The 27,627-nt window shown below is 38.6% G+C and overlaps 1 protein-coding gene across 1 annotated transcript in view; it reads left to right on the forward strand.

The window, feature by feature from the left end:
- Positions 1-27,627, forward strand: part of CTNNA2 (catenin alpha 2) — a 1,463,404-nt gene that overhangs the window by 164,954 nt on the left and 1,270,823 nt on the right. The window contains exon 4 of the mRNA NM_001399737.1: positions 23,501-23,683. The gene's annotated coding sequence lies outside the window, so the exon portion shown is untranslated. The remainder of the gene's footprint in view (positions 1-23,500; positions 23,684-27,627) is intronic.

Here is a 27,627-nt window from a genome sequence, read left to right on the forward strand (position 1 = left end):
CATGTCATTGTGTACCCATTGTTTAGCTACCACTTATAACTGAAAACATGTGGAATTTGATTTTCTGTTTCTAAGCTGTTTCACTTAGGATAATGGCCTCCAGCTCCATCCATGTTGCTGCAAAAGTCATGATTTTATTCTTTTTTATGGTTGCATAGTATTCTATGATATATATATGCCACATTTTTTTTATTCCAATCCACCTCTGATGGACACTTAGGTTGATTCTATGACTTTGATGTTGTGAATAGTGCTGTGATCAACATACAAGCACAGGAGTCTTTTTTAATATAATAATTCATTTTCCTTTAGATAGATACCCACTAGTGGGCTTGCTGGGTCAAATGTTAGTCCTAGTTTTAGTCCTTTGAGAAATCTCCATACTGTTTTCCATATGTGGTCTACTAATTTACATTCTCACAAACAGTGTATAGTCATTCCCTTTCCTCTGCATCCACACCAACATCTGTTGTTTTTTGACTTACTAATAATCGTCATTCTGACTAATGTGAAATGGTATCTCACTGTGGCTGTAATTTGCATTTCTCTGATGGTTAGCGATGTGGGGCATGTTTTAATATATTTGTTGGCCACTTGTATGTCTTCTTTTGAGAAATGTCAGTTTATGTTCTTTCCCCACTTGTTAATGTTTTTGTTTGTTTGTTTTCTTGTTGACTTGTTTGAATTCCTTGTGGATTCTGGATATTACTTGTCTGAGATAATTTGTAAATATTTTCTTTAATTCTGTAGGTTACCTTTTTACTCTGCTATTTCTTTTTCTGTGCAAAAGGTTTTTTAGTTTAGATAAGTCCCATTTGTCTATTTTTGTTTCTGTTGCATTTATCTTTGAGATCTTAGTCATAAATTCTCTGCCTAGACCAATGTTCAGAAGAGTTTTTCTTAGGTTTTCTGCTAGAATTTGTATAATCTGAGGTCTTACATTTAACTTCAAGCTATAGTTACATATAATCTATCTTGAGTTAATTTTTGTATATGGTGAGAAATGGGAGTCTAGTTTCATTCTCCTGCCTGTAGCTAGCCAATTTTTCCCAATACCATTTAGTGAACAGGATATCATTCCCATTGTTTATTTATGTATGTATTTATTTAACTTTTATTTTACAATCGGGGGTACATGTGCATGTTTGTTGCATAGGTATATTACATGATGCTGAGATTAGGAGTACAAATGAATCTGTCACTCAGGTAAAGAGCACAGTATCCAATAGGTAGTTTTTTTCAACCCCTACCCCTCTCCATTCTTCCCTGCTCTTTTATTCCCCAGCATCTATTGTTCCCATTTTTATGACCATGTATACCCAATATTTAGCTCCTATTCTTGAGAACAGGTGGTATTTGGCTTTCTGTTTCTGTGTTAGTTCACTTATGATAATGTTTCCCACTGCATCCATACTGATGATGCAAAGGACTTAATTTTATACTTTTTGTGGCTGTGTAGTATTTCATGGTGTATATGTACCACATTTTCTTTATCCGATCCACCATTGATGAACATCGTATTTGATTCCATGTCTTTGCTATTGTGAATAGTGCTGGAATGAACATACAGACACATATGACCTTTTGATAAAATCACTTATTTTCCTTTGGTATGAGATTTCTGAGTCAAATGGTAGTTCAACTCTCAGTTCTTTGAGAAATCTCCAAAATTGCTTCCCACAGTGGCTGAACTAATTTGCATTCCTGCCAACAGCATATAACTGTTCCCTTTACTCTACAGCCTTATCAGCATTTGTTATTTTTTGACTTTTTAATAATAGCCATTCTGATTGGTGTGAGATGATATCTCGTTGTTTTTATTTGCATTTCTCTAATAAGTCGTGATAATTAGCATTTTTTCACATTTGTTGACTGCTTGTATAATTTTTTTTTTCTGGTTGGTAGGTTTTTTATTACTAATTCAGTTTCAGAACTGTTATTGGTGTGTTCAGGTTTTCAATTTCTTCCTGGTTCAATCTTGAGAGATTGTGTATCTCCAGGAATTTATCCATTTTTTCTGGTTTTCCTAATTTGTGTGCATAGAGGTCTTCAAAATAGTCTCTGAAGATCTTTTGTATTTCTGTGAGGCTGGCTGTAATAATATCTTTGTCATTTCTGATTGTGCTTATTTGGATATTCTCTCTTTTTTTCTGTGTTAATCTAGCTAGCAGTCTATTAATTTTGTTTATCCTTTCAAAAAACTAACTTTTGTTTGCATTGTTCTTTTGTATGGATTTTTGTGTCTCAATTTCTTTCAGTACTCCTCTGATGTGGATTATTTCATACCTTCTACTAGCTTTGGGGTTGTTTTGTTCTTTTTCATTGTAGTTCCTATAGGTGTGATCATAGATAGTTAATTTGAGATATTTCTAGCTTCTTGATAACTTCTTAAAAGTGTTTAGTACTATAAACTTTCCTCTTAACACTGCTGTATTAGTCCATTCTCACACAGCTATAAAGACATATCTGAGACTGGGTAACTTATAAAGAAAAGAAGCTTAATTGGCTCATGGTTCTGTGAGCTATGCAGGCTTCTGCTTCTGGGGAGCCTCAGAAAACTTACAATCATGGCGAAAGGCAAAGGGGAAGCAGTCCTATATTCAAATGGCCAGCAGGAGAAAGAGAGCAAAGGGGAAGGTGGCACACACTTTTTAAACAACCAGACCCCTTGAGAACTCTATCATGAGGCAGCACTAGGGAGATGGTGCTGAAATATTAGAAGCTACCCCCATGATCCAATCACCTCCCACCAGGACCCACGTCCAACACTGGATTGCAATTCAACATGAGATTTGGGTGGGGAGACAGAGCCAAACCATATCAACTGCTTTAACTGCATTCCAAATATTTTGGTATGTTGTGTCTGATTTCATTACATTTGAAGAATTTTTTAGTTTCTGGCTTAATTTTGTTTACCCAAAAGTCATTTAGCAGCAAGTTGTCTAATTTCCATGTGATGGTATGATTTTGAGATATCTTCTTGACATTGAGTTCTATTTTTATTGCACTGTGGTCAGAAAGTGTGCTTGGCATGATTTCAATTTTTTGAATTTATTGAGACTTGCTTTATGGCCAAGGATGCGGACAATGTTAGAGTACGTACTGTGTGCAGGAGAGAATTGTTTTTTGTTTAAAGTCTGTTTTATCAGAATAGCAACAACCCCTCTTTTTTGTTTACCATTTGCATATAAGATCTTTCTCTGTTCCTTTACTTTGAGCCTGTGAGTGTCATTGCATGTGGAATGGGTTTCTTGAAGACAGCATACGGTGGGGTCTTGTTTCTTTATTCCACTTGTCATTCTATGCCAATTTAAGTGGGATATTTGGAACATTACATTCAAGATTAATATTGATACGTAAAATTTTGATCCTGTCATTGTGTCGTTAGCTTGTTGTTTTATAGACTTGATTGTGTAGTTGCTATATTGTGTCTGTGAGCTATGTGCTTAAGTGTGTTTTTGTGGTGGCAGATATCATTCTTTTGTTTTCATGTTTAGCACTCCCTTAAGGACCTACTGTAAGATCAGTCTAGTGGTCATGAATTCCCTTAGTGTTTGCTTGCTTGTCTGAAAATAATTTTATTTCTTCTTCACTTATTATGCTTAGTTTTGCAGGAAATTAAATTCTTGGTTGGAATTTCTTTTTTTTTAAGGATGTTAAAAATAGTCCCCCAGTCTATTCTGGCTTGAAAAGTTTCTGCTAAGAAGTCCTATGCTAGACTGTTGGAGTTCTCTCTGTAAGTGACCTGGCCCTCCCTCTAGCAGTTTTAAAGAATACTTTTTCTTTTGAGTTGACCTTGGAAAACCTAATGCCATTGTGTCTTGGGGATGATTGTTTTTTATAGTATCTCACAAGGGTTCTCCGAATTTCTTGAATTTGTGTGTCAACCTCTCTAGAAAGACTGGGAAACATTTCATAAACTATGTCCTCAAATATGTTTTCCAACTTGCTTATTCTCTCTCCATCTCTCTCAGGAATGCCGATGAGTCATATGTTTGGCTTCTGTACATAATCTCACATTTCTCAAAGGTTTTGTTCATTTTTTAAAATTCTTTCTTCTTTATTTTTGTCTGATGGCATTGATTCAAAGGACATGTCTTCCAGCTCTTGGATTCTTTTCTCAGCTTGGTGTATTCTATTTTAAATGCTTCCAACTGTATTATAGAATTCCTGTAGTGAATTTTTCAGTTCCATTTGTTCAATTTTGTTCTCTCTTAAAATAGCTATTTTGTCTTTCAACTCTTGGATTATTTTATTGGATTCCTTAGATTGGGTTTCAACTTTCTGTTGCATCTTATTGAGCTCCAGCTGTGTCTCTACCTACTCTCTGGGAGGCTCCCTGCCAGCTTAACTATCCTTGGGCATCATGAGATCTGTTGCACCTAGGATCCCAGAAGTCCACTGTGAGAGTGAATTGCCCTGCAGTTGCTCCACTCACTACTTCCTTAGGAGCTGTTCAGAGCTAGGAATGAGTCCTGGTAGTCAGCAATCCCATGTAGGATTCCAAGCTTCCTTCCTCTTCAATGTCAGTGCCTCTCTCTTGATTTAGAGTGTTTTCTCTAAAAAGAGCTGTTTAAAGTATGATGACTTACCCCACATTTTGATCTCACTTGGTAGGAGAGGCTCTCTTGGCTCTTCTAGTCATCCATCTTGTCCTGCTATCTGTCTCTATTAGTTATATCGACTTTGTTAAAGATCAGCTGGTTGTAGGTATGTGATTCTATTTTAGGGCTCTCTATCCTGCTCTGTTAATCTATGTGTTCATTTTTGTACCAGTACCATGCTGTTTTAGGTACCATAACCTTGTAGTATAATTTTAAGTCAGGTAATGTGACACCTCCAGCTTTGTTCTTTTGCTTAAGGTTGGTTTGGCTATTTGGGCTCTTTTTGGGTTCCATATGAATGTTAAGCTTGTTTTCTAATTCTGTGAAAAATGACGTTGGTGATTTGATAGGGAATACATTGAATATGTAGCTTGCTTTGGACATTATGGTCATTTTTGTGATATTTATTCTTTTAATCCATGAACATAGGGTGTTTTTCCATTTGTTTGTGTCATCTACAATTTCTTTCATCAGCATTTTGTAGTTCTCCTTGTAGATATCTTTCCCTTCCTTGAACATTCCATAAAATTAATTAACCACTTTAAAGTATACAATTTAACTGGCATTTAGGACAATCACAGTGTTATTCAATAATCACCTTATCTAATTCTAAAATATTTTCATCACTGCCAAAGGAGACCCAGTACAGACTAAACCATCACTCCCCATTCCTATGCCCTAGCTCTTGGTATCCTCTAATCTGCTTTCTGTGTTTATGGATTTACCTATTTTGAATATATTAAGTTAATGGAGTCATAGAATACGTATCCTTTTATCCCTGACTTCTTTTACTTGGCATAATGTTTTCTAGGTTATCCACATTTTAACCTGAATCAGCACTTCATTCCTTTTTAGGGTTGAGTAACATTTCACTGTATGAGCATACCACATTTATTAATTTATCTGTTGATGGACATTTGGGTAGTTTCCACCATTTGGCTATTGTCAGTAGTGCTGCTGTGAACATTCACATACAAGTATTCATTTGAATACTTTTTTTCTATTCCATAGGGTATATTTAGGAGTGGAATTGCTGGGTTATAAGGTAATTCTATATATATAACTCTTTGTATAACCACGTAACTGTTTACTAATGTGGCTGCAGCATTTTACAGTCCTACCAGCGTATATATATAAATATAAATATGGAAATATATATACCTATATAATTATAAAGAAAAAGTATATATACTTCCTTTTTATATATCTATCTTAATGGGTGTGAAGTGGTATTATATTGTTGTTTTAATTTGCATTTTTCTAATTACTAGTGATGTTGAACATCTTTCATATGCTTATTGGTCATTTGTTTATTTTCTTTGGAGAAATGTTTATTTAAGTCCTCTACTCATTTTTTAATTGGGTTGCTTATTTTTCTTGTTAAGTGTAATAGTTCTTTATAAATTCTTATTACTATAACCTTTTCAGATATATGAATTGCAAATATTTCTTCCATTTTGTAGTTTGCATTCTTGCTTTCTTGATAGTGCCCTTTAATAAACAAAAGTTTTAATTTTTGATGACTTCCAACTTATTTATTCATTCTTAACATGAGGTAAGAGGCTGAGATGCCAAGAAAACAGTGAAAAGTTAAGTGGTGTGTTTTGCTTTCTTGCTACTCTGGAGATAAAAGCAGAAATACCAATAAGATGGCTTTTAATTTGAGGCAAGCCAGAGTTAGATAAATCCAGACCAAAAAATACAACCCAACGTCTAGTTAGCTTAGTTCCTAATTGGCTAAAGTGAACAGCCTCCAGTCTAGTTGCCTCACAGAAGAAAAGTCCACCATCTAGAACAATATAGTGAGCTTTTCTATAAAAAGATAGCACCATCCAGAACACTACTTTCTACACAGGATCAGCAGATAATAAAAAACTACCATGTATATCAAGAAGAAGGAATGGAAGTTAAAAACCAACAATAGAATTGATAGATTAGAATTATAAATAAAATATATCACATAGAGATTTAAACATAGTTATGATTAAAAATTCAAGAAAATGGATGACAAAATGGAGAAGTTCACTAAATAACTAGAATCTGTTTCAAAAGAATCAAATGGAAATTTTAGAACTGAAGAATACAATAACTGAAATTAAAAACTCAATAGAGCTGGGTGGATTGGCTCACATCTGTAATCCTAACACTCTGGGAGACCAAGGCAGGAGGGTCATTTGAGCCCAGGAGTTTGAGACCAGTCTGGGCAACATAGCAAGGCCTCATCTGTATACAAAGAAAAAAATTAGTTAAGTGTGGTGGCATGCACCTGTGGTTTCAGCTACTTGGGAGGCTGAGGCAGGAAAATTGCTTAAGCCTAGGAGGTCAATGTTGTAATGAGCTATATTCACATCACTGCATCCCAGCCTGGGCAACAGAGTAAGACCCTGTCTCAAAAACAAACAAACAAAACTCAAGAGATTCATATCAAAGCTGGCTAAGCACAAGTGAAAATACAGTTATTAAACTGGAAAATAGATCAGTAGAAAATTCTTGGACCGAATCACAGAAAGCAAATTATTGAAAATTCAGTAAAGAACATAAAAGACATATAGGGCAAGGTGAAACAATTTAATATAAATGTGACTGGAGTTCCAGATAGAAAAGAGAGAGAATGGGCGGAAGAAATGTTTGAAGAGCTAATAACCAAGAATTTCCTTCCAACTGAAAGACAGCCAACCAAAGACTCAAGAATCATTACAAATCTTTAGTAGAGTAAAAATCAAGAAAATCATACCTGAGCACATCATGCAAAGCTGCTAAAAAAACAAAGATGAAAGAATAATCTTAAAAGCAGCCAAGGGAAAGGATACAATGCCTTCAAATGAGCAACAGTAAGGCTGACAGTTAATTGCTGAATAAAGAAAGCCAGAAAATAATCAATAACATTATTAAAATTGGAATTCTATAATCCAGAAAAAGAAACGTTTTTTTAAAGCGAAGAAGGTGCTGTAAAACATCTTTGAATTTCCTACATAGATATGAGTTCTCCTTTGCTACAATCCTAAATCTTGGTCTTTCCCTTGACTCTATCTTATTTTACTGGATGCTCAGTCAAGATTCTATTTTACTTATTTTTCCATAGGATTTCATTATCTTTGAGTCATAATCCTTTTTAAAAAAACCAAAGATGAAATTTTTTTTGGTGAAGATAAAGTATTTTGGTGAAGATAAAAGAGATTTTTCTTCTTATTAAATGAAAACCTTTGAGCTTGTTGATTCTATATTTAAGACTCCAGCCTTGAATGGAATTTTTGTCTTTTCTTTTTCTTCTTTTTTTTTTTTTAGATGGAGTTTTGCTCTAGTCACCCAGGCTGGAGTACAATGGCACAATTTCAGCTCACTGCCACCTCTTTCTCCTGGGTTCAAGTGATTCTCCTGCCTCAGCCTCCCAAGTAGCTGGGGTTATAGGCGTCAGCCACCACACCTGGCTAATTCTTGTATTTTTAGTAGAGATGGGGTTTCACCATGTTGGCCAGGCTGATCTCGAACTCCTGACCTCAGGTGATTCATCTGCCTCGGCCTCCCAAAGTGCTGGGAGTACAGGCATGAGCCACTGCGCCTGGCCAAGTGGGATCTTAGTCAACATACGGTTTATTTTTATCTGTAAAGAAACAAGCATTTAGTTGGAAATTTTCTCTTAAAACAGCAACAAAGAACCTAAAAAGGAGGACATACCACATAGAATCGGTAAAGCAGCTAAGCAGAGGCTTTGGAGGCCAAGGACCAAAGTATTTCTTTCAAGAAACCAAAGCAGCAGCCAATTTAAGTCTAAATTTAAGTCTAAATATCCTAGGTTTTTAACTCTAAATATCTTCATTTTACAGATAAGTAAACAGGAGCTCAGAGAGTTTAAATAAGTTGTTCAAGTTCACTCATCTATTTAGTGGCAGAGCCAGGAACTTACTCAAGTTTTCCATACACTTCCAATCCCAACATTCAGAGACTCAGAAGTAGCATGGTTTGTGTTGCCAAAAGCTCTCTAACCCAAATAATTTTCACCACAGAACATCCAGTGCAACAGACTCAGATGAGTTCATTTTAAAAAATATAACAGTGCCTACTGTAGGCCACAGTTACACCTACTAGATATAACATACTAAGTTACTAAATCCTGGAAACACCTGATCACTTATATTCCTGAATTAGTTAACTCAGCTTTTGAGTACAACATAAAAAGATGGGACATGAAACAGACAACTTTTGATACAGAGGGAGTGGAATAATAAAGAGAACTAACTGTGGATGCCTGGTTTGGGATAAAGTGGGAGATTACATAAGAAGGCCAAGTATGATGTTGCTGCAAGAGGGGTGTTGTGACATCTATGGGTAAATTAAAGGGGCTAGGACTGAATTCTAGAAAGCTTTTATGCACTTTATAAATTTCTTTAAGTCTCAGTTCTCTCTAGGTAGTTTCATCTGTCTCATGAACCAATCCTGTTAGAACTCACAGGGCCCTAACATGACACCCCTGCTGAGAGAAACCCTATTTCAAAAATGGTGTCTGAGATTCTTTCTGTTGCCTTTCTTCCAGGCATTCACATGTTATAATGCCATAAATGTGTCCTATGATTTTCTAGGCATGGCAGTAACATTTATAGATCAACCGGGTTAATAGCAAGAAGGCTCATGCTGAATAGGAGGAAAACCCCTTCATGGGAAGCCCCTGGAGAGAATTACTCTATAGATATGCAGAGGATTAGGAGCAGCTGCGTAGAGCTAGGAGAAATTCCTAGATCACTTACCCCCAAATGCCTCACTTTCAGAAGAAGGTAGCCAAAGACCAAATAAATGTTAAACAACATGTTTATGGCAGAAAGAGGTTCTAAACCTAGAGCTCTTGACTCAGTCTGAAGGTTTTTTTTTTCTGTAATACTACTTAGGTAAGTGTGATAGGGGACCCTTGATAATCTTCTGAACCATTTCAGAGAATCTGTAAGGTCAAACTGTTTTCATCATAATGCTTAGGAATTATGTGCCCAAGAATAGAGAGGACTGGGATGCCATCATCATTCTTATGGGTAATGGATGTGTGCTTAAGCAGGCTTGTAATTTAGAATTTATCTAGTTTTATTTCTAATATGGCCAATGTCAACACATAAAAACTATATAAACAAAATCTCTTTTGAGTACTTAGTAATTTTTAAGAGAGTCAAGGGTCCTGAGACCAAGTCTGAGAACCACAGTTACAGTTCCACAAATATAATTAAGCTACTATTATGACTAAGACACAGGGCTGACAACTTTCCTCGCCCTCAGAATACATGGTTCTATCCTACGAGTGCCATTCGGAAAGTTCAGAAGAAGAAAAGGTCATATTGTAATTAGTAACAGATTCAGGAAAGAGACTGATCAAGAAGTGGGTCTGGAAAGATGAGAATTTCAACAGGTGGTAATCTGGAGCCAGAATATTTCTGGTTGAGAGAAATGTACAATCAGAGACAAGACACCAAGGAGCATATATATTCTGGTCACAGTCAGTCTTCCTGGGTGAAAGTGTCATGTGGATGAGAAGCAGTAATAGGGGAAACAAAGAAATGAGATGAGATTAAGATGTAAAGAGGCTTGAGCGCCAGATGGAAGCATTTGGACTTATTTTTAATCACCATGATAGTTCATTGTGTAGATGATAAATAAAAAGATACTGCCCACTACTGAAAATAGAAATAACTAATGAGACAGGAAATACTTAGAGCCTTCTTCAGGCATAGAGCTGATTAAGGGTATGGATAAGGCCTTTTAAGGGAAAACACAAAAAGTCAACAGGAAATGTAGAGGGTGAGGGTAAAGAAACACACCTCAAATTAAGTCAAGATGTATCCATCATCCTGACTAGTTGTCCAATCATAGCAAATGTCTTTTTCTCTCTGGATATTCAGAGAGACCCACAGCTAAGATCAGTAAAATGCACATGTACTTCCCAAAGTTGCTTTGAAAATAAATTGAGTAAATAAATAGCAGTCATGCTTTGAAGATCATAAAATGCTATATGAATGTATAGATGTTTAGCTACCACCATCTGTATTGTCAGTCTCAGTGGGAGTTATTGATATAACTCAAGAAGGTGGGAGGTCAAGGGTTTTAAGCATGCACAGGCCTGAGGAAGCCACAAGCTCCTCTTCACTTTACCCAGACACAGGACTGGAACAATCTGCTTAACTATTATTACTTTCTTGGGAAGATCATTATTTTAAAAATAACATCTCTTGATCCTATATTGAGATCTGCAGTAGAATGACTACCTGGACCCTTTAAGAAATGCTACCCTTTAATTTTATTTGTTGTTTTATTGGCTGTTTTTTAATAGCTAATGCATTTAGATGTTAAAGATTTAGACAAACAAACAAGAGTAGAGTTAAAAGTATTCTTAAGTTAAAGGTAAATCTAATTGGGTGGATAAGTTATGCTTCATCACAATGAATAGGAAGCTTCCCATTTGGCAGAAAAAAAAGGTGACAATATCAGAGAGATGAATGGGAAATATAAATGGCAACACCGATTAGGGTTCTTTGATCTCTTTCGTCATCTTTCTGAGCTGTTAGAGGGTAACTACTTCTTGTTTTTGTCTATGAGGTATCATTTTATACAATTAGGAGAGAAGTTAGCTGGTGTTCATATTTAAAGAAGTCAGCTGGTGTTCATATTCAATATCCCTAGCTAGCTGTATTAGTCGGGGTTCTCTAGAGGGATAGAACTAATAGGATATACATATAAAGGGGAGTTTATTAAGCATTAACTCACACAATCACAAGGTCCCACAATAGGCCATTTGCAAGTTGAGGAGCAAGGGGAGCCAGTCCAAGTCCCAAAACTGAAGAACTTGGAGTCAGATGTTCAAGGGCAGGAAGCATCCAGCATGGGAGAAAGATATAGGTTGGGAGGCTAGGCCAGTCTAGAGTGTTCTCACGTTTTTCTGACTGCTTTATATTGTAGCCACTCTGGCAGCTGATTACATGGTGCCCACCCAGATTAATGGTAGGTCTGCCTTTCCTAGCCCACGACTCAAATATTAATCTCCTTTGGCAACACCCTCACAGACACACCCAGAATCAATACTTTGCATCCTTCAGTCCAATCAAATTGACACAATATTAACCATCATACTAGCCAAAATAATTTTAAAATTGCCTGTAGAATGCTATCATGGTGGTCAGCAAATGTCCCATCTGGAGCTTATTCAAGCCTCTCCAATTAAGCAGTGACTATACTAAGCCAGCTGTGCCAACCAGGAACAGCACTGTCTTTTTTAATAGAACCCATGGTCTTGCCCTAGTCCTGGCAAACACTTTCATTCATCTTACATCTTTTTCCAAATGCACTCACAAATATTCCAGCTCACGGTCATAGCTTTTTTGTTGTGTTATTTGTTATTATTTAGTTTTTAAATCAACAAATAAAAATTATATATATTCATCATGTACAACATGTTTTGAACTATGTATACCTTGTTGAATGGTTAGATCAAGCTAATTAACATATTCATGTCAGGTATCATATGTTTTAATGAATCTTCCATGGTCAAGTATTAGCAAAAGTGGACCAAGGGGCTACACTGGTAGCAAGTGAATTCACTTGTGGAATTCTAGATTCATCTAGAAACTCCATGGGATTTTCATGCCCCTGAGTAGATATAGTAATCATTAGTGCTGCTCTCCAAATGTTCCCATTCTCTTTACATGATGATGTTGCACTTCCCAGGCTCTTAGGCATGACCACGCAATGTAAACAGAAGAAGTATACACCAATTCCAGGTAGAAACTTCAATCAGAATAATGTGATTTGGCACAGCAGTTTCCCCATCAGCTGTGGTGACCCCAACATTTCTGATAGTGGCAGCTCTACCAGCCTGGATCGTTGACAAAGGATGACACAGAGCATAGCCTCCAGCTGACCCACAGTGGGCAATAACTTAGTTTGGAGGAGAAGTAAACATTTTTGTTTCAAGCCGCAGAGACTGGGGACTATTTGTTACCAAAGCATTAGTTAGCCTATCCTAACAGATAGGAGACAAAGGCAATGTGATGAAAAAACAGAGTAGAATTTGTTAATGACACAGTCTTGGGCATCAGACAAATATAAGTTCTAACCTCTATCACTTCCTAGCTGTGTGGTCTTGGGACTGTTACTTAACTCCTCTGTGTTAACTTACTTCAGGCTTCTATGACAAAATGCCACAGGCTAGGTGGCTTAAACAACAGAAACTTATTTTCTCACAGTTCTGGTGGCTAGAAGTCCATCATCTAAGTTACAGATGACTCAGTTTCTAGTGAGGACTTCCTTCTTGGCTTACAGAGAGCTGCTTTCTCACTGTGTCCTCACAAGGTAGAGAGAGAACAAGCTCTCTACTGTCTATTTTTTGAGGACACTAATCCCATTGGATCAGGGCCCCACACTTATAATTGCATTTTATTTAATTACTGCCTTATTCTAAATACAGCCACACTGGGGCTAAAAGCATCAACATGGATTTTTAAAAGGACACATACACTCAGTCCATAAAACCCTCTCAGTCACATTTCCTCATTGGTTGTTTTGAGAAATAATTTAACGTATGTAAAGTGCTTGGTCTAGTATCTGTCTCTTTGTAGGTATTTATTACATTTAACTTTATTTTCTATAACCTTCCCCCAGCAAAAAAAAAAAAATCTCATCATATAATATAGAAAACTGAACCCTCTTATATTGTATATAATCAGCTATCACTGAAGTGTCCCGTCTGACACTTGGTTAGGGACCATCTCTGAAACAAGAGTTTTCCTTTGCTGCTCTTAATGCCCTAGGGCCAAGGTCCCTAGATTACTATTCACTTTTGTACTCTATATAAGCCAAGTCATTACAGGCCCGAGGAGCAAACGAATTATACAGCACAGTGTTACCACTAAATCAACACCGTCCAAGAAGCAGTCCAGGACAGGCAATCACTCTCCTTGGGCCAGGCTAGTATGCAAATGAAAGGCAGAGAAGCAGGTCAAAGAGGATTGAATGTTACTGAGAAAGTCATTGAAAATAGCTAACTCCTGATTGGTAAAGCTCCTGGAACAGAGTTTCAATCCTTAATGTGACTTTGAGCTGGAGAAAAGGCATTACATCTAAAGGTACCCTTAACATGCATGGGGCACCACACTGCCATAGCAAATCATGTGTATTAAAGTCTTTCACAGTGTCAGGTCTTGGAGGAAAAAAATTGCCAGCAAGCAATTTTCAGGCTAGGCAAATGAGCTAAGTTGATTGTCAATAAAGGAGGATAAATAGAATACACTTAACTTATCCTCTGCCAAGAAAATTAGGACCAAAACTTCACCAAGACAAGTATTTGTGAAGGTTCATAACTGTGTGTCCACTTGGGGTTATAGAATGACTTACAAGATGTTGATTTCTTCCCCAGTGTATATTCAATGAGCAGCAACAAACTTCTCATATGTTTAAGTTCATACAGATCCACTGTCACTATAGGGCCAGTCTTATACTTAGGAGATCCACAAATATGTTGTGATTTATAGGGTTCTGCGAAAATCTACTCTTTCAGAATACAGTTTATCTTTTGCTAACTAGCATGTTGTTGGGTTTTGAAATTCTGTGGATAAAATATTATTCTCTTCACCTTTGACGAGAATAATACATTAAACAAAACCAGCATCTTGATGGGAATTTGGGTCATCTTTTGTACAGAAGCTGGAGAGTTCTTGACTGCTTTAGGTTGAATAAAGTCTAAAGTAAAAATTTCAAAAATTTCAAAGACAATCTTATCTAGGCTTCACTGAAGCCTAGAGAAGACCCAGAGAAAATGTAGCCTCATTCTCCATCAACTGTACTTTTATGTCAAAAGTAGATTTCTCATGTTAACTAAAGACTGAATTCTTTGTAAAAAGGGGTAAGGGGTAATTGTTTAGGAAGAGGAGGAATATGCAGAAACTATTTCTTAACTTTTATTTAAATTTTGTATATTTTTTGTTTCTTTGCTTACAAAACATACATCACTCTTCATAATTATCCCAGCAGCATCTTGAATCTTATGTGGGATTTATATTTTAGCATTCCTTGGTATGTGTAAAATATTTGAATAGGCTGGGCACAGTGGCTTATGCCTGTAATTCAATACTTTGGGAGGTGAGGTGGGTGGATCACCTGAGGTCAGGAGTTTGAGACCAGCCTGGCCAACATGCTGAAACCCCGCCTCTACTAAAAATACAAAAAAATTAGCTGAGCATGGTGGCGGGTGCCTGTAGTCCCAGCTACTCAGGAGACTGAGGCAGGAGAATTGCTCGAACCCAGGAGGCAGAGGTTGCAGTGAGTCGAGATCATGTCACTGCACTCCAGCCTGGGCAACAGAGCGAGACTCCATCTCAAAAATAAAAAAAAAAAGAATAAATTAAACCTGCAAATGAGAATTCAGAAAGTGACAAGATAATAGCCAAGGGTGGTGTCTCACACCTGTAATCCCAGCACTCTGGGAGGCCAAGGCAGGAGGATTGCTTGAGCCCAGGAGTTTGAAACCAGCCAAAGCAACATAGTGGGAACTCCATCTCTACAAATTTTTTTTTTAAATTAGCCAGGTGTGGTGGTGCATGCCTGTAGTCATAGCTACTCAGGAGTCTGAGGCAGGAGGATGGCCCAAGCCCAGGAGTTTCAGACTGTGGTGAGCTATGATGGCACCTGCATCTCAGCCTGAGTCACAAAGTGAGGCCCTGTCTAAAAAAAAAAAAGGAGAAAAAGGAAAAAAAAAAAAGGGAAGTGGGGGGGACATGACAAGATGATTCCAGGTTTTTTGTTTTTTGTTTTTTTGTTTTATGATTAGAGACGAGAAGGAAAATATGAATGTGACTCCTTCTTTGTGGTTCTTTCAGCCGCAGCAACTTTGCTTTGTACACTCTGTCTCCTGCCAAGAGAGCCCAGGGAAGGTAATGTCTCCTGGATCGTATGAAATGTTTCTGTAACGGTCACTGTAACTCACACCTTGATTTTTACCAGGTCGCTGGCAAGTGCGATGGATTGTAATTGCTGCACATTCATGAGGGCTTCTCAAGGTTACCCGGTGAGGGTTAATGTTCAGTTCATCCACCAGACTTATGAGGCGGAAGAGAAAATCTCTATTAGTTATTCTGCAGCATTAACAAAAAATTAGAGAACATAGTCTGTGCTCTTAAAAGAAGCCTCGTTGTTCTCTGCTAAAAGGCAAGAGATCACACACAGTAGGTCATGAGTGTGTGTCACGTGCAGGGCTAAGGAGGAGCTTCCCTTTGATAATGAAACAAACATTTAGCTTACCTAAGAGCTATGCAGAGTGAGGACAAGATGTGTCATCTGCAAAACAAAAATAAATAAATAAAGGCAGATTTCTAAAAGGCACACATCATTCAGAATTAAATTAATTCAATTAATTATGATGTTTTCATACAAGTGGAACACAGGCCGGCTAGGAACAAAGATTTTTCTTCCTTATATTAGGAACAATGACCTATTTTTCTGTGTTTGTGGGGCCTGTTTGGTGTGGGTTGTTTTTTCCTAATTATGTTCTCTTTTTGAGTTTTTCCCTGCCAGGGCACAGTGAATACCAAAAGAAGAATAAGACGGAGAGCTATTCCTCAGTGAAGCAGAGTTTACAACCCTTGTTCATTTTGGCCAAAGGCCAGCTGACTCTAGTTTACCTAACTTTTAGAGAGTTTCAGAAAAAAAAATGGAAGTAATATCCTGCCTTTGAGTATGGAGACAAAATTCTAATATCATAAGAGAGTTATCAGAGGTTAAGGCAGTTAGAAGGGTTCATTCATTCAACATTCAACACAAACTGTGAACACCTAACATTTGCCATGTACAAAGAAGGACGTTCTGCCTTGGACTAACATCCATTCCTGTGAGGGAAGAGAAGCAGCAGGTATTTTCATACTATATAAAATGTATAGTATATCAGATATAATTACTGTGAGAATAAGAAAAAGTGTTGGGTGAGTGGAAAGTGCTATTTAATATAAAGGGTGGTATGGGACGGTCTCACTGAGACATTTAAACAGAAAGATCTTGTTATTGAACAAAAGGTTTCTGTCCTCCCCAAATTCATATGTTTAAACCCTAATCTCCAATGTATGTGATGGTATTTGGAGATGGAGCCTTTGAGAGTTAATTAGGGTTACATTAGGTCATAAGGGTAGAGCCCTCATGATAGGGTTAGAGGGCTTATAAGAAGAGGAAGAGAGAGATCCTTTCTCATTCACTCTACTCCCGTGCATCACAGAAAGTCCATGTGGGGATACAGCAAGAAGGAGGCTGGCCATCCAAAAGCCAGGAAAAGGGCCCTTACCAGGAACTGAATCAGCTAGCACCTTAATCTTGGACTTTTAGCCTCCAGAGCTGTTAGAAAATACATTTCGGTTAAGCCAGCCAGTCTGCAATATTTTGTTATAGTAGTCCTAGCAGACTAAGATAGGCCTGAAGGAGGTGAGAGAAAAGAACACGCAAATAAGGGGAAAGCATCTCTGGCAGGGAAATTGAAAGTGCAAAGGCCCTAAGATGGCAGTATGTCCCATTTTCAAGGGACAGCAGGGAGGTCAGTGGGACTGGAGCCAGGTAAGCAATGGGTAGAGAAGTAGGAGATGATTTAGAAAGCTAATGGGGGAGGGAGATTTTATGAAGCCTTCTAGACCACTGTAGAACTGCAGCAGAAGAGTTTGTGGTCTGACTTTCTTAACTGCTGAGTTGAGAACCAACTAGAGGGGAGAAAAGGGCACATCAAGAACTCTTAGATGACTGCTTTCATCCAGGCAAGAGATGGGCTTTAGAGATGGAGACACCAGGTTGGCATTTACTCTGGCAATTAGAAATTATGGGCTATGAGGCATTAGTAAAAATGAGTAACTGATATTAGGCAGTTTCTAAGGGCCAGATCCAGGGCTAAGCAATTTACATGGATTATCTCAATTACTCTGGTGAGAGAGGTACCATTATTATAATCTGCAGTCTATAGATAAGGAATGTTCTGTATCTTCATTTCTTTATATACTAGAGAAAATAGTACTACCTACCTTACAGAGGTGTGGTAAAGATGAAATGCAATACTCCATGTAAATCACTTAGCTCAGTACCTGACACAGGGTATAAGCTCAATAAAAGATGACAATGGTTATCATTTTGTGATTTCATTAGGATAGATAAAATTTTGTCCACAAACTACCTACCTGTGGACATAGAAGACTGAAAAAGTCAGTACTCTTCATCATGCACTTACCTCAGTTTCAAATCAAGAGAAAGAATTAACACAAATCTGAGAAGCAGACTTTCTATATTTAACGTAAGACTCCTTTTGACAAATCTTTCTATGGTCTTTGCCTAGAGCAACTAGCACTTCCCTCTATCTGCACTGGCATTTTTCTCCTATTCTTGTTTCCTTGTCAGAGCTGTTCCTTTCCAATCCTGGCACAATGTTTCTTACTCTTCTGGGCTAAATTTCATGGTTCTCCCACACTTCTTAGAATTCCCTTCTGCAATAAAGCCTTCCCACAGTGTCACCACATCCTGTCCTGGACATCTTCCCGGCATTTCACCATGTAGCTACTCCATAGCTGGACGTTGTGCGGATTTCCTCTTTTTCAATGTTATCTGATTATTTCATTTGGAGTGGGCTCCATATTCTTGTAGACAACACTGATGCTTCCCCCGAACCACCATGGGCTCTCTGAACCTGGAAATGGAAAGACATCTTTGACATTTCCTCCATGAGACACATGACAGGCTTATTAGAGTGGGAGGTGGCACACACACAGCGCTGCCAGGAATTAAACGCTACACCCTTCCCTTTACCCTGAAATGGAGCATCCTACTGGGTCACTCAAGGTGATATGTATAGGCAACTTAGAGAAACACTCCATTAACAATGAAATTAAAGCTTTTTATCCAGTCACTTGTGTCCCTGGGTATCACACTTTATCACTTTGTTTAGATAAAGCTTTATTGGTCTAAGAGCAAAACTAGGTTTTGTTGTTGTTGTCGTTGTTATTGTTGTTTTCCCTAAAAGGCCTGGATGATGCTGCCGCTTGAAGAAGAAAATCTTTCTCCTGCCAGAGTCCTGCTTAACCTTAGCTGGGGGAGGTGATCTTTAACACTAACTATTAAAGTTTGAGCCCAGAGACTGGTGCTAATTCACCCTGACCAACCTCTCACACAGCCACAGAATTCTCCCCTGCACACCAGGGCACCACCACTGGGAGCTGTTGGCAATAAGGGAGTGGAGAAGGTAGAATGTGAGAGGCCCTCAGTCATCCACTCCTCTAGTCAGTAGCCTTCCACTCATAAATGGATAAAAACAAGAGCCATTTTTAGATTCAGCATTTCCTGGGGAGAACAATTCCAGCCCCAAACTTCAGATGTCAGCAGAGAACAGTGTGGGCTCTTTATGTTCCTCAAGAACATGCACACTGAGCTTCCCCCGCAGCCCCCGAGCACTGCCAGCTGCTGCTGCTGCGATCCCAGTGTCTGAGTTTGTGACTCGCCGGGAGATTGTCTGTTCCTGCTGCTTCCAATATCGTCTTGGCCTTTATGAAGGCACATGCACACGACTGTAGCGGCACCCCTGTCTCCGGCCCATTGTGGACATGACTGCTCTTCCAGTGTGGCTCCCCTGTGACAGGCACCTGCTCAGCAACCTACAGAAGCTCCCCCAGGTAGGTATCAATGCCCTAAATTTCCTTTCAAGCCTTCAAGGCTCACCCAACATAAATATCGCACACTCCTTGAAGAGCAACTTCTACTTTCATCAGATAACACTGATCTACTTTCCTCCTAACACTCCTTACACCTGCCTCCACCCTTTGCCCATATTGCTCCCATTTACCTCCACTGGGAGTATCTTCCCTTTACAACTTATTTAAATTCTGTCCAACGTTCAAGACACAGCTTAAGTCCCACCTCCCCTGAACACCTCTGGGATCACTTCAGTCCTCAGGGTTATTACAGTTATAATTGCTAGCGTGTAATTTCACAATTAATTTTCTTCTCCCTGTTTTGTGTGTTTGCATATTATCTACAAGGTTGTAAGATACTTGAGAAAAAGATCCAGATATTTTACTACTGTCAATCTAATTCTGGCGAAGAGGAGGTGCTCAACTTTATGAAGCTACAACTGGGCCAATGCCTTGTAGAATGTTAAATAGAGGACAAGATTTTGACCTCAGTATCAGAGCATACAAAGATAATCTGACACTCCCTCTCATAATCCCTGTGAAAGTCCACATTCTCTACACAGAGAGAAAGGATTAGGCTCTCTGGTTTTGTTTGCTATAATCTTAGAATAATTCTAACCCTGCACTGAGCAAGGACAAATTACTCAACTTTCAAAATTGAAAGATCACTCAGAAATTATGTAACACAAAGGCAGAGAAGAAACTTGAAGCCCAAAGAAGTGAAGTTTCCTGCCCCAAACCACAGAGTGGATGAATGATAGAACTAGGAACAAACCCTAAAGCTTTTGAAATCCCAGCCAAAACTCCTGAGTGAATATTTGCAGGTTGCCCTCCTTCATTTTCTTTAGAGTCTGGATGTTAGCAATAGAAAATCATTGGAAAAATACTTTCTGAGTGCTTTCTCTGCCTCTAGCTCTATGCTAGGGCATGTGGGCTACGAAGAAAAGGAAATAAAAATAAAATGAACCTATCTTTGCACTCAGGACTCCTGAACTCCCTGTATTATTTTTTAAAGCAATGATCTTAACTTTTTTTTTTTTCTGAGGCATAGAACCCACTGAGAATATAATTAAAATTAAGGCTTAGGGAAGTGCATGTATGCACAAACCAACAAAACACTGTGCTTCATTTTAGAGTTTTGCTGAGCTCTCATACCTCCAGGTTATAGTCTCTTTCTGAAATCTTCAAAAATAGAGTCATGGTTTTATAATTTACAGAGTCCAGATGTAGTCCTCGCCTTTTTCTCCACCCTTTTGAGTGACTGGTGGGAAGGCAGCAATCACAGCTTCATCTCTTCCCTAAATAAATAAGCACTTCCCTGAGTGCCTCAACTCCATTGCTCCAGATGTCACACTGGATGAATGGCTCATTTAGGGCTCAGCAGGACCCAGGTCATGCACTGAGCTGATCAGCTTTTCTGTGTCCTGCCCTTGCCACTCAGAGAAGTTTCTCTGCCACTCTGCCTGCTTGGAAAATCCACACTCCCCTTAGGAGGCCTGGAAGCCGAATAACTTCTAGCATGGTTCTGGCAAGCCTGGGGAAGAGGGGAGGGGTCTGGTGCCTTCTCTTGGGACTTTTATTAGACAATACTGGTGAAAGGCCCACGGGGTGTTTTAAGTGGTGGCTCTGGCATAAAAGATGCGATGGAAGGAGCACTTCTCTCAGAAGCCATATATCATGAGGCTTCTCCAGACAGGAGAAGGTGGGAAACAGATGGAGACGAGCAGGCAAATGCACCGCAGGGACACAGCTTGAGTGGGAGGGTGTGAGGAGGCAACTGAAGCTATCAGCAGCAGCAGACAGAGGGAAAAGACTCACGATGTGGAACCGACATATGGAAAGTCGGAGTGGGAAACAGAAGACAGGACCCAACAGCAAGAGACTCATTCTCACAACATGTAGAACCAAGAGATGAACCAGGCTCCTTCTCTGGCAGACAAAAGAAACTCCGTCACTGCTAAAGACTTATTTCTGCACCCAAGAAAATGAGTTGGCCTGAGAAAGGTTAGGGTAGGAATTCCCTACCCTACTTTGCAGGAGGAACATGGTTAAAAATTCTAGGTCTTCCTAGAGTGAACTACAGTCCCAGATTGCCTGGAACTATCCCAGTTTTATGGCTAAAAGTTCTAGAATAATTTCCTATCAGTCCTGGGCAAAGTAGGTCAACTGGTCACTCTATGACACCCTTAATGATTCTGATCCTTTAGTTTTCAATGAAACCCGGAAATCTGCAGCACTACCCAGGACTCCTGGTGATCCTGGTGCTAGGGAATAGGGAGGTTGCTCCACTGGGGACACTTATAAGCACTGTACATTTAATCCCCGGTATAACTTGTCAAGATGATCTGGAAGAAGAAAGAATAAAAAAGGAAGAAAAGCAGAAAGAGTTGATGGCTTCTGAAAACTCTAAAACAGCCATTCTCCACCTTTTGAATCCCATGGGAAGCTTTGAAAACCATGGATACCTGGGCCCTTGCCTGGACAATTACATCAGGTTCTCCGGGGTGAACCTGAGGTGAGGCCTCAGCAGTGGCACAAGTGAGAATCATTGTTCTGGGATTCCTGATTTCCTGACTGATGGCATCTGGTGGCAGGCAGGGAGCTATACTGAGTGCCTACACCTGTACAAAATAGCACTGCACCCTAGCTGACAGGAGGAACGAAGTCCCTCTTTCTAAAGTATTATTTTTCCTCCTTGATGTCACTGCCCAGCAAAGAAGCAGTCCCAGGTCATGTTAGAGTTACCTACTCATTTGTATTTAACCCTGCGCTCCAGGAATTACAGAAAATGAGTCTGCAGGAAACGTGTCCAGGTCTTCTCCATTCCCAAGGTAATCATGTGCTCTGTGTATATCCTACTCGAGGTTCTACCATTGAAAGCCAGGCATGTACTTCTTTATTTTCTGTGGCTAATAGAAAGGGGGAAAAGGATTTCTGCAAAAATTGAAAGAAAACTAAAAGATTCCTGTGCAGGAGAGAAGAATCAAAACTGGTGATAGAATATGACAAAGAAGAGAAAAGAAAAGGGGGACAGGGGAGAAGCAACACAAAGGGCTGTTTTTCAGGACAGATCCCTTGAATCAATACCTCCCCAGAATACAAAGACATTCAACGGTTAAAAACCAGAGATCGACAAGAACAGTTATTCTGCACCAAATGAAAGGATATACGGTATGGCATTGATTATACCCAAAGGCTATAAGGCAATTGAACGTTAATTGGCAGAGGCCTACCAAAGGTATACAATCTTGAAGGACCTATCAGGAAAAAAGAGAAGTTGCTAAAACTTTTTAAACCTGGACTTCCTTTCCAATTCCATGGTTTCTTCAGAAGACAAACAACTCCCCAGGTTTTACAACTGGGAAATATAGCTCCCTACAAATGGACAGCAGCATAGTATAGGAACCTAATAAAAGATAATAAGGTGAATAAAAAGGGTGGTATAATCCTTGGCAAAATGTATAGCAATATGAAAATTTTTGTAATAAATTGTTATAATGGTTTGCGTTGTGAATTAGAATAGCAAATACTTTGTTACAGAGTACTTACATTTTATTTTTTAGCTATCACAGCTCAAAACTAAATGTAGACGTGTGACTCTATGATACCTTCTGGCTAAAGATTGCATCTTTATCATCAGAGCAATATATATCAGGTTGATTTATTAACACTCTATCTCCAATTGGCTCTATGCAATGTGCAGACAAATAAACACGTAAATGAATAAGTAAAATATTTTTAAAGTATTCCTGCCCTCTAGAACCTTATACTCCCTGATAATTATTCTTACTGAAACATACAGAATACTATTAAACGTAGTGATTCATACCTGCAGAAGAAAAATATGCCCTTTTCTGTAACAGGAGAATGCCTGAATAATGATAGCACTGAAATTGATGCCATCATTATCAGCTTGCATTTTTCAAGCACTCAGTCAGTGCAGGGCAAAGAACTGCAGAAGGGACTACAAACAGGGATAAAAAGCAGGCTCTGCCCTAAATGAGCCCACAGCCTGGATGGAGGGAGAGGAGGGAAACATACACAAAAAAACGGTAACTCCCTGGAAGCATTTTTTTAAATACCCAGTGAGTTACACAGACCTTAAATGGTGTTGGATGGCAGTGCAATCACAAGCTTTTACATGTGCTTTATGGTGTCTAATCACATTCATTATCATATTTAATTCTCACAATAACCTGTTGATATGAGTGTTAAATCTCCATCTTACAGATAAGAAAATTGAGACTCAGAGCATTTAAGCAGCCAGCCTGGAGTCACAGAGATTTAAGTCTCAGAGCCAGCACTCAGGATGAGTGCCAATGGAAGCCTGTCCTTGGAGTCCAGAATGAACGTCAGAAGCAACCCAGCCACAGCAGGAGACTGTCCATGAATGTCATCTGGCTGAACCTAAAGGCAAGACCTTTTTAACTTATCTCATTCAAGCTTATTCTTCGTACTCTTTCACTAATTCCAATTAAGAATATTTCATGCTCATGATAGGATTTGCCATTTTTCCCACTTGCCAAGTCCCTGATTATTCATCATCATCACCAGCAACAACAGCAGCAGCAGCAGCAGCAGAAATAGAGAATTACTTGTTCAAGTAGTAAAACCTTCTGTGGAAGTCTAGTGCATAACAATGCATACCTTCCCCTGTCTCTAACCCTCTTGTTTTCTAAAATTAACATCTCTGAGATATAGAAAGACATGCAAAGGGGCATGGATCTGGTATTTTAGCTGCTACAAAATAAGCACAAATACAATAATGGGGCGACTTCATACTTAACTTTTGTCATTATAAAATCTAAGACTGATTCATGGACTGACATGCAGGAAGAAATAAAATTCTTTATCTCCTTCCAGGGGAGAAGGGTTTCTCAGTTTCCTGGGAATAAGCATCATTAGAGTAATATATATATATTTTTCTATTGTGCTTCTTCGGTTTTACATTTAGTCAACATTCTCTATTATTCTGAGCAATAGACTCTTCTGAAATTTTCATTTCTGTAGATGATGTATATTTTTTATCTTTTTTCTGTGTCTTCATTGATATTTTAGTGGAAATTTGGGAGATGATGTATCAGCAGCAACTAGCCAAGCACCATTTTAAACTAAAATCCGATGGAAATTTAATTTGATTGCACTACAAATGTTAACTCCATGAGATTTTTTTTCCTCCCATCAAGTGTGTCTCTCCTTCCCATTAGGCATATTTGGATAGTGCAAATGGGTGACTTGACTGGAAGCAGAAAGAGATTCATTCCATTCCAATTTTGAATATGACAGTTGTGAAGTCAGGCTCATGACCTGTGTGCCAATTTACAATCTAATAAAAATTTAAATGCTTGAATTATTAACAGAGAGTGAGGGATGGAGCTTAGAATGGAAACATTTATAATGAAGTGACGATTTTCAGCATAATAGAGTTGCTCATTTTTGGAACATCCTATATGCATATTCCTTGTGGTTTCATAGCCCGTAAATTGTTTGTTGTTGGGTCTCATTTTGAATTCTCTTTACTATTTCATTCTGTTCTGCATCAGCAATCAGGGCAGCTGTGGATACTAACACAGTTTAATTTTTTAAAAAACCATACGCTTTACGGTCAGACATACCTGGATTCAAATTCTGATTCTGATTTTTACTTGCATTGTGAGATCTGATAGCGTGTTTCATCTTGTTGACCAAGTTAGCCTGCAACAACTACCTTGTAAGCTTTTTGTAAGAATTGCAGTAAATAAGTGAAAATATTTCTGACCGTGCCTGGCATGTAGTAGTTGTTCATTAATGAGTATAAGAGCTTTTCGCCATCGTTCCTTCTTTATTCTGCCATGTAATTTAGAAGAAAGAGTCCTCAAAGATCATGCATTAATTGATTCAATAAAGCATTCATTCATTCATGTGACATTTATACAGTGTCGACTCTAGGCCTGGGAATTCTCAGAGCTAAGAATATAAGAAATACTGAGACCTTCAAAAATGTTATAGACTAATGAAGAAAATAGGCCTGTTAAAAATACTCTATACTAGGGAAAAATGAATGATATTAAAGAAAGATGTTTAAGGTACTACAGTGACACTAAGAAAATATTTTCTTGGTGCTTTTGAGTATGTCAGTTAAATCCTTTGAGCTTCTAATTTTTTAAAATTAGATTAACAAAAACATATGAGCCACTTCAAACATGCCGGTGCAAAGCCTACAATTTCTTTCAAAGAGGCTGAACTACAGGCCATTTTACCCAAACTCATACATTCATTCATTTTAAAAAGTGCATCCTTGGAACAAGCATAATCAAGAAATGCTTAAAACGAGTCTGGCCTGTAACTCATGACAAAGACTTGTATGAAGAGATGAGCTGAGCCAATCTGCATCCTACCAAGAGAAACCACAAGAATCAGACAATTAGCATCAGGAACCGAAAATGAAAGCATGCCCAGAGAGCAGAAGTCATAAGGGATAGTCAAGGCTCTTTTGGTTCAGGAGAAAGCTGCATGTAGAAGGACGCTTGAGTTAAGCAGAAGATGGTAGATGAGGTTAGAAGTAAGACGAAATAAGGATGAAGAGTAGAGGATGGGGAAGGCAGCCAGAGTTAAGGTGCAGCAGACACCCAGAGAGGGATGGGGAGGCCAAGGAAAAAAGAGCATTACAAAGAGAGAGTGCTTGCAGAAATGAGTAGGAAACAGCAACGGTGGGCTGTCCCCAAACTGCTTGTGTTCCAACTGATTTCCAGTTCTAAGCCCCATGTGGTTTCTGATCCTGTGTGTTTTTGCTTAAAAACCTCCTACCTGTATTACTGAATAACTGAATTTATCTATGTTGAGTATAGCCAAAATAGCCCCTTGTTGGTTGGTTTTGTTTTTGTTTTTGTTTTTTTGAAATTTTTCTAATTTTTTTTTATTATACTTTAAGTTTTAGGGTACATGTGCACAACGTGCAGGTTTGTTACGTATGTATACATGTGCCATGTTGGTGTGCTGCACCCATTAACTCCTCATTTAACATTAGGTATATCTCCTAATGCTATCCCTCTCCCCTCCCCCAACCCCACAACAGGCCCTGGTGTGTGATGTTCCCCTTGCTGTGTCCATGTGTTCTCATTGTTCAATTCCCACCTATGAGTGAGAACATGCGGTGTTTGGTTTTTTGTCCTTGCGATAGTTTGCTGAGAATGATGGTTTCCAGCTTCATACATGTCCCTACAAAGTACATGACCTTATCATTTTTTATGGCTGCATAGTATTCCATGGTGTATATGTGCCACATTTTCTTGATCTAGTCTATCATTGTTGGACATTTGGCTTGGTTCCAAGTCTTTGCTATTGTGAATAGTGTTGCAGTAATCATACGTGTGCGTGTGTCTTTATAGCAGCATGTTTTATAATCCTTTGGGTATATACCCAGTAATGGGATGGCTGGGTCAAATGGTATTTCTAGTTCTAGCTCCCTGAGGAATCGCCACACTGACTTCCACAATGGTTGAACTAGTTTACAGTCCCACCAACAGTGTAAAAGTGTTCCTATTTCTCCACATCCTCTCCAGCACCTGTTGTTTCCTCACTTTTTAATGATTGCCATTCTAACTGGTGTGAGATGGTATCTTTAATCACTATGTTAATATAAAGTATCAGGGCCAGTAGTGATGATATGCTGATCTTCATACAAGGATATAACCCCATCCCAACAATAAGGAAAAGGCATAAAGTTGTGTCTCCTAACCTAGAAAGACACTATGCTGAACAATCCATACTATGCTGTACAAGGTCCTTGACTAAATCCCCAAATGATATGCACTGAAGTACACCAGAAAGCCAAAATAATTTTTTATTTGTACAAAGCTGCTTAGCCCATAATTGTAGACAGACAATTCACCATAGGTCTTTGAGTTTCTGCAGATCTTGCAAGCAAGTCACTAACTGCCATTTTGTTCTAGCCTATCTTTTCTAAGGATGGTTTTATACAGGCAGTTTTGGGAGACAGTATCTCTCTCCAAAGCAGAGGGCATATTTGTTTGTTTCCTTTCCAGAATAATAGTGGTAATATTTCCCTCTGGGGAAAAGGGCATGTTTGCTTTCATTCCATTACAAAAGAGTTGGGTTTTCTAAGCTCAGGCTTCTTTGGTGCATACTCATTGCATGCATAGCATCTAGCCAGGCTTTTCTCTATTGTCTGCCATAGCACCTGAAGGGCCTTTATTATAGCAAGTATCATACTGCATCCCTTTCCCTTTCTTATCTGATGCAAACATGAAGCACCTGCTGCTTGTTCTGCCATGAGTAATACAGTCCTTAGTCTCTGACCTAGGAGTTTCTTGACTCTGCCAGCTTTAAACTGCGGCAGGCTAACTTTTTACCTTGCA

Source organism: Homo sapiens, chromosome 2 (assembly GCF_000001405.40).
Source record: "Homo sapiens chromosome 2, GRCh38.p14 Primary Assembly".
Lineage (NCBI taxonomy): Eukaryota > Metazoa > Chordata > Mammalia > Primates > Hominidae > Homo > Homo sapiens.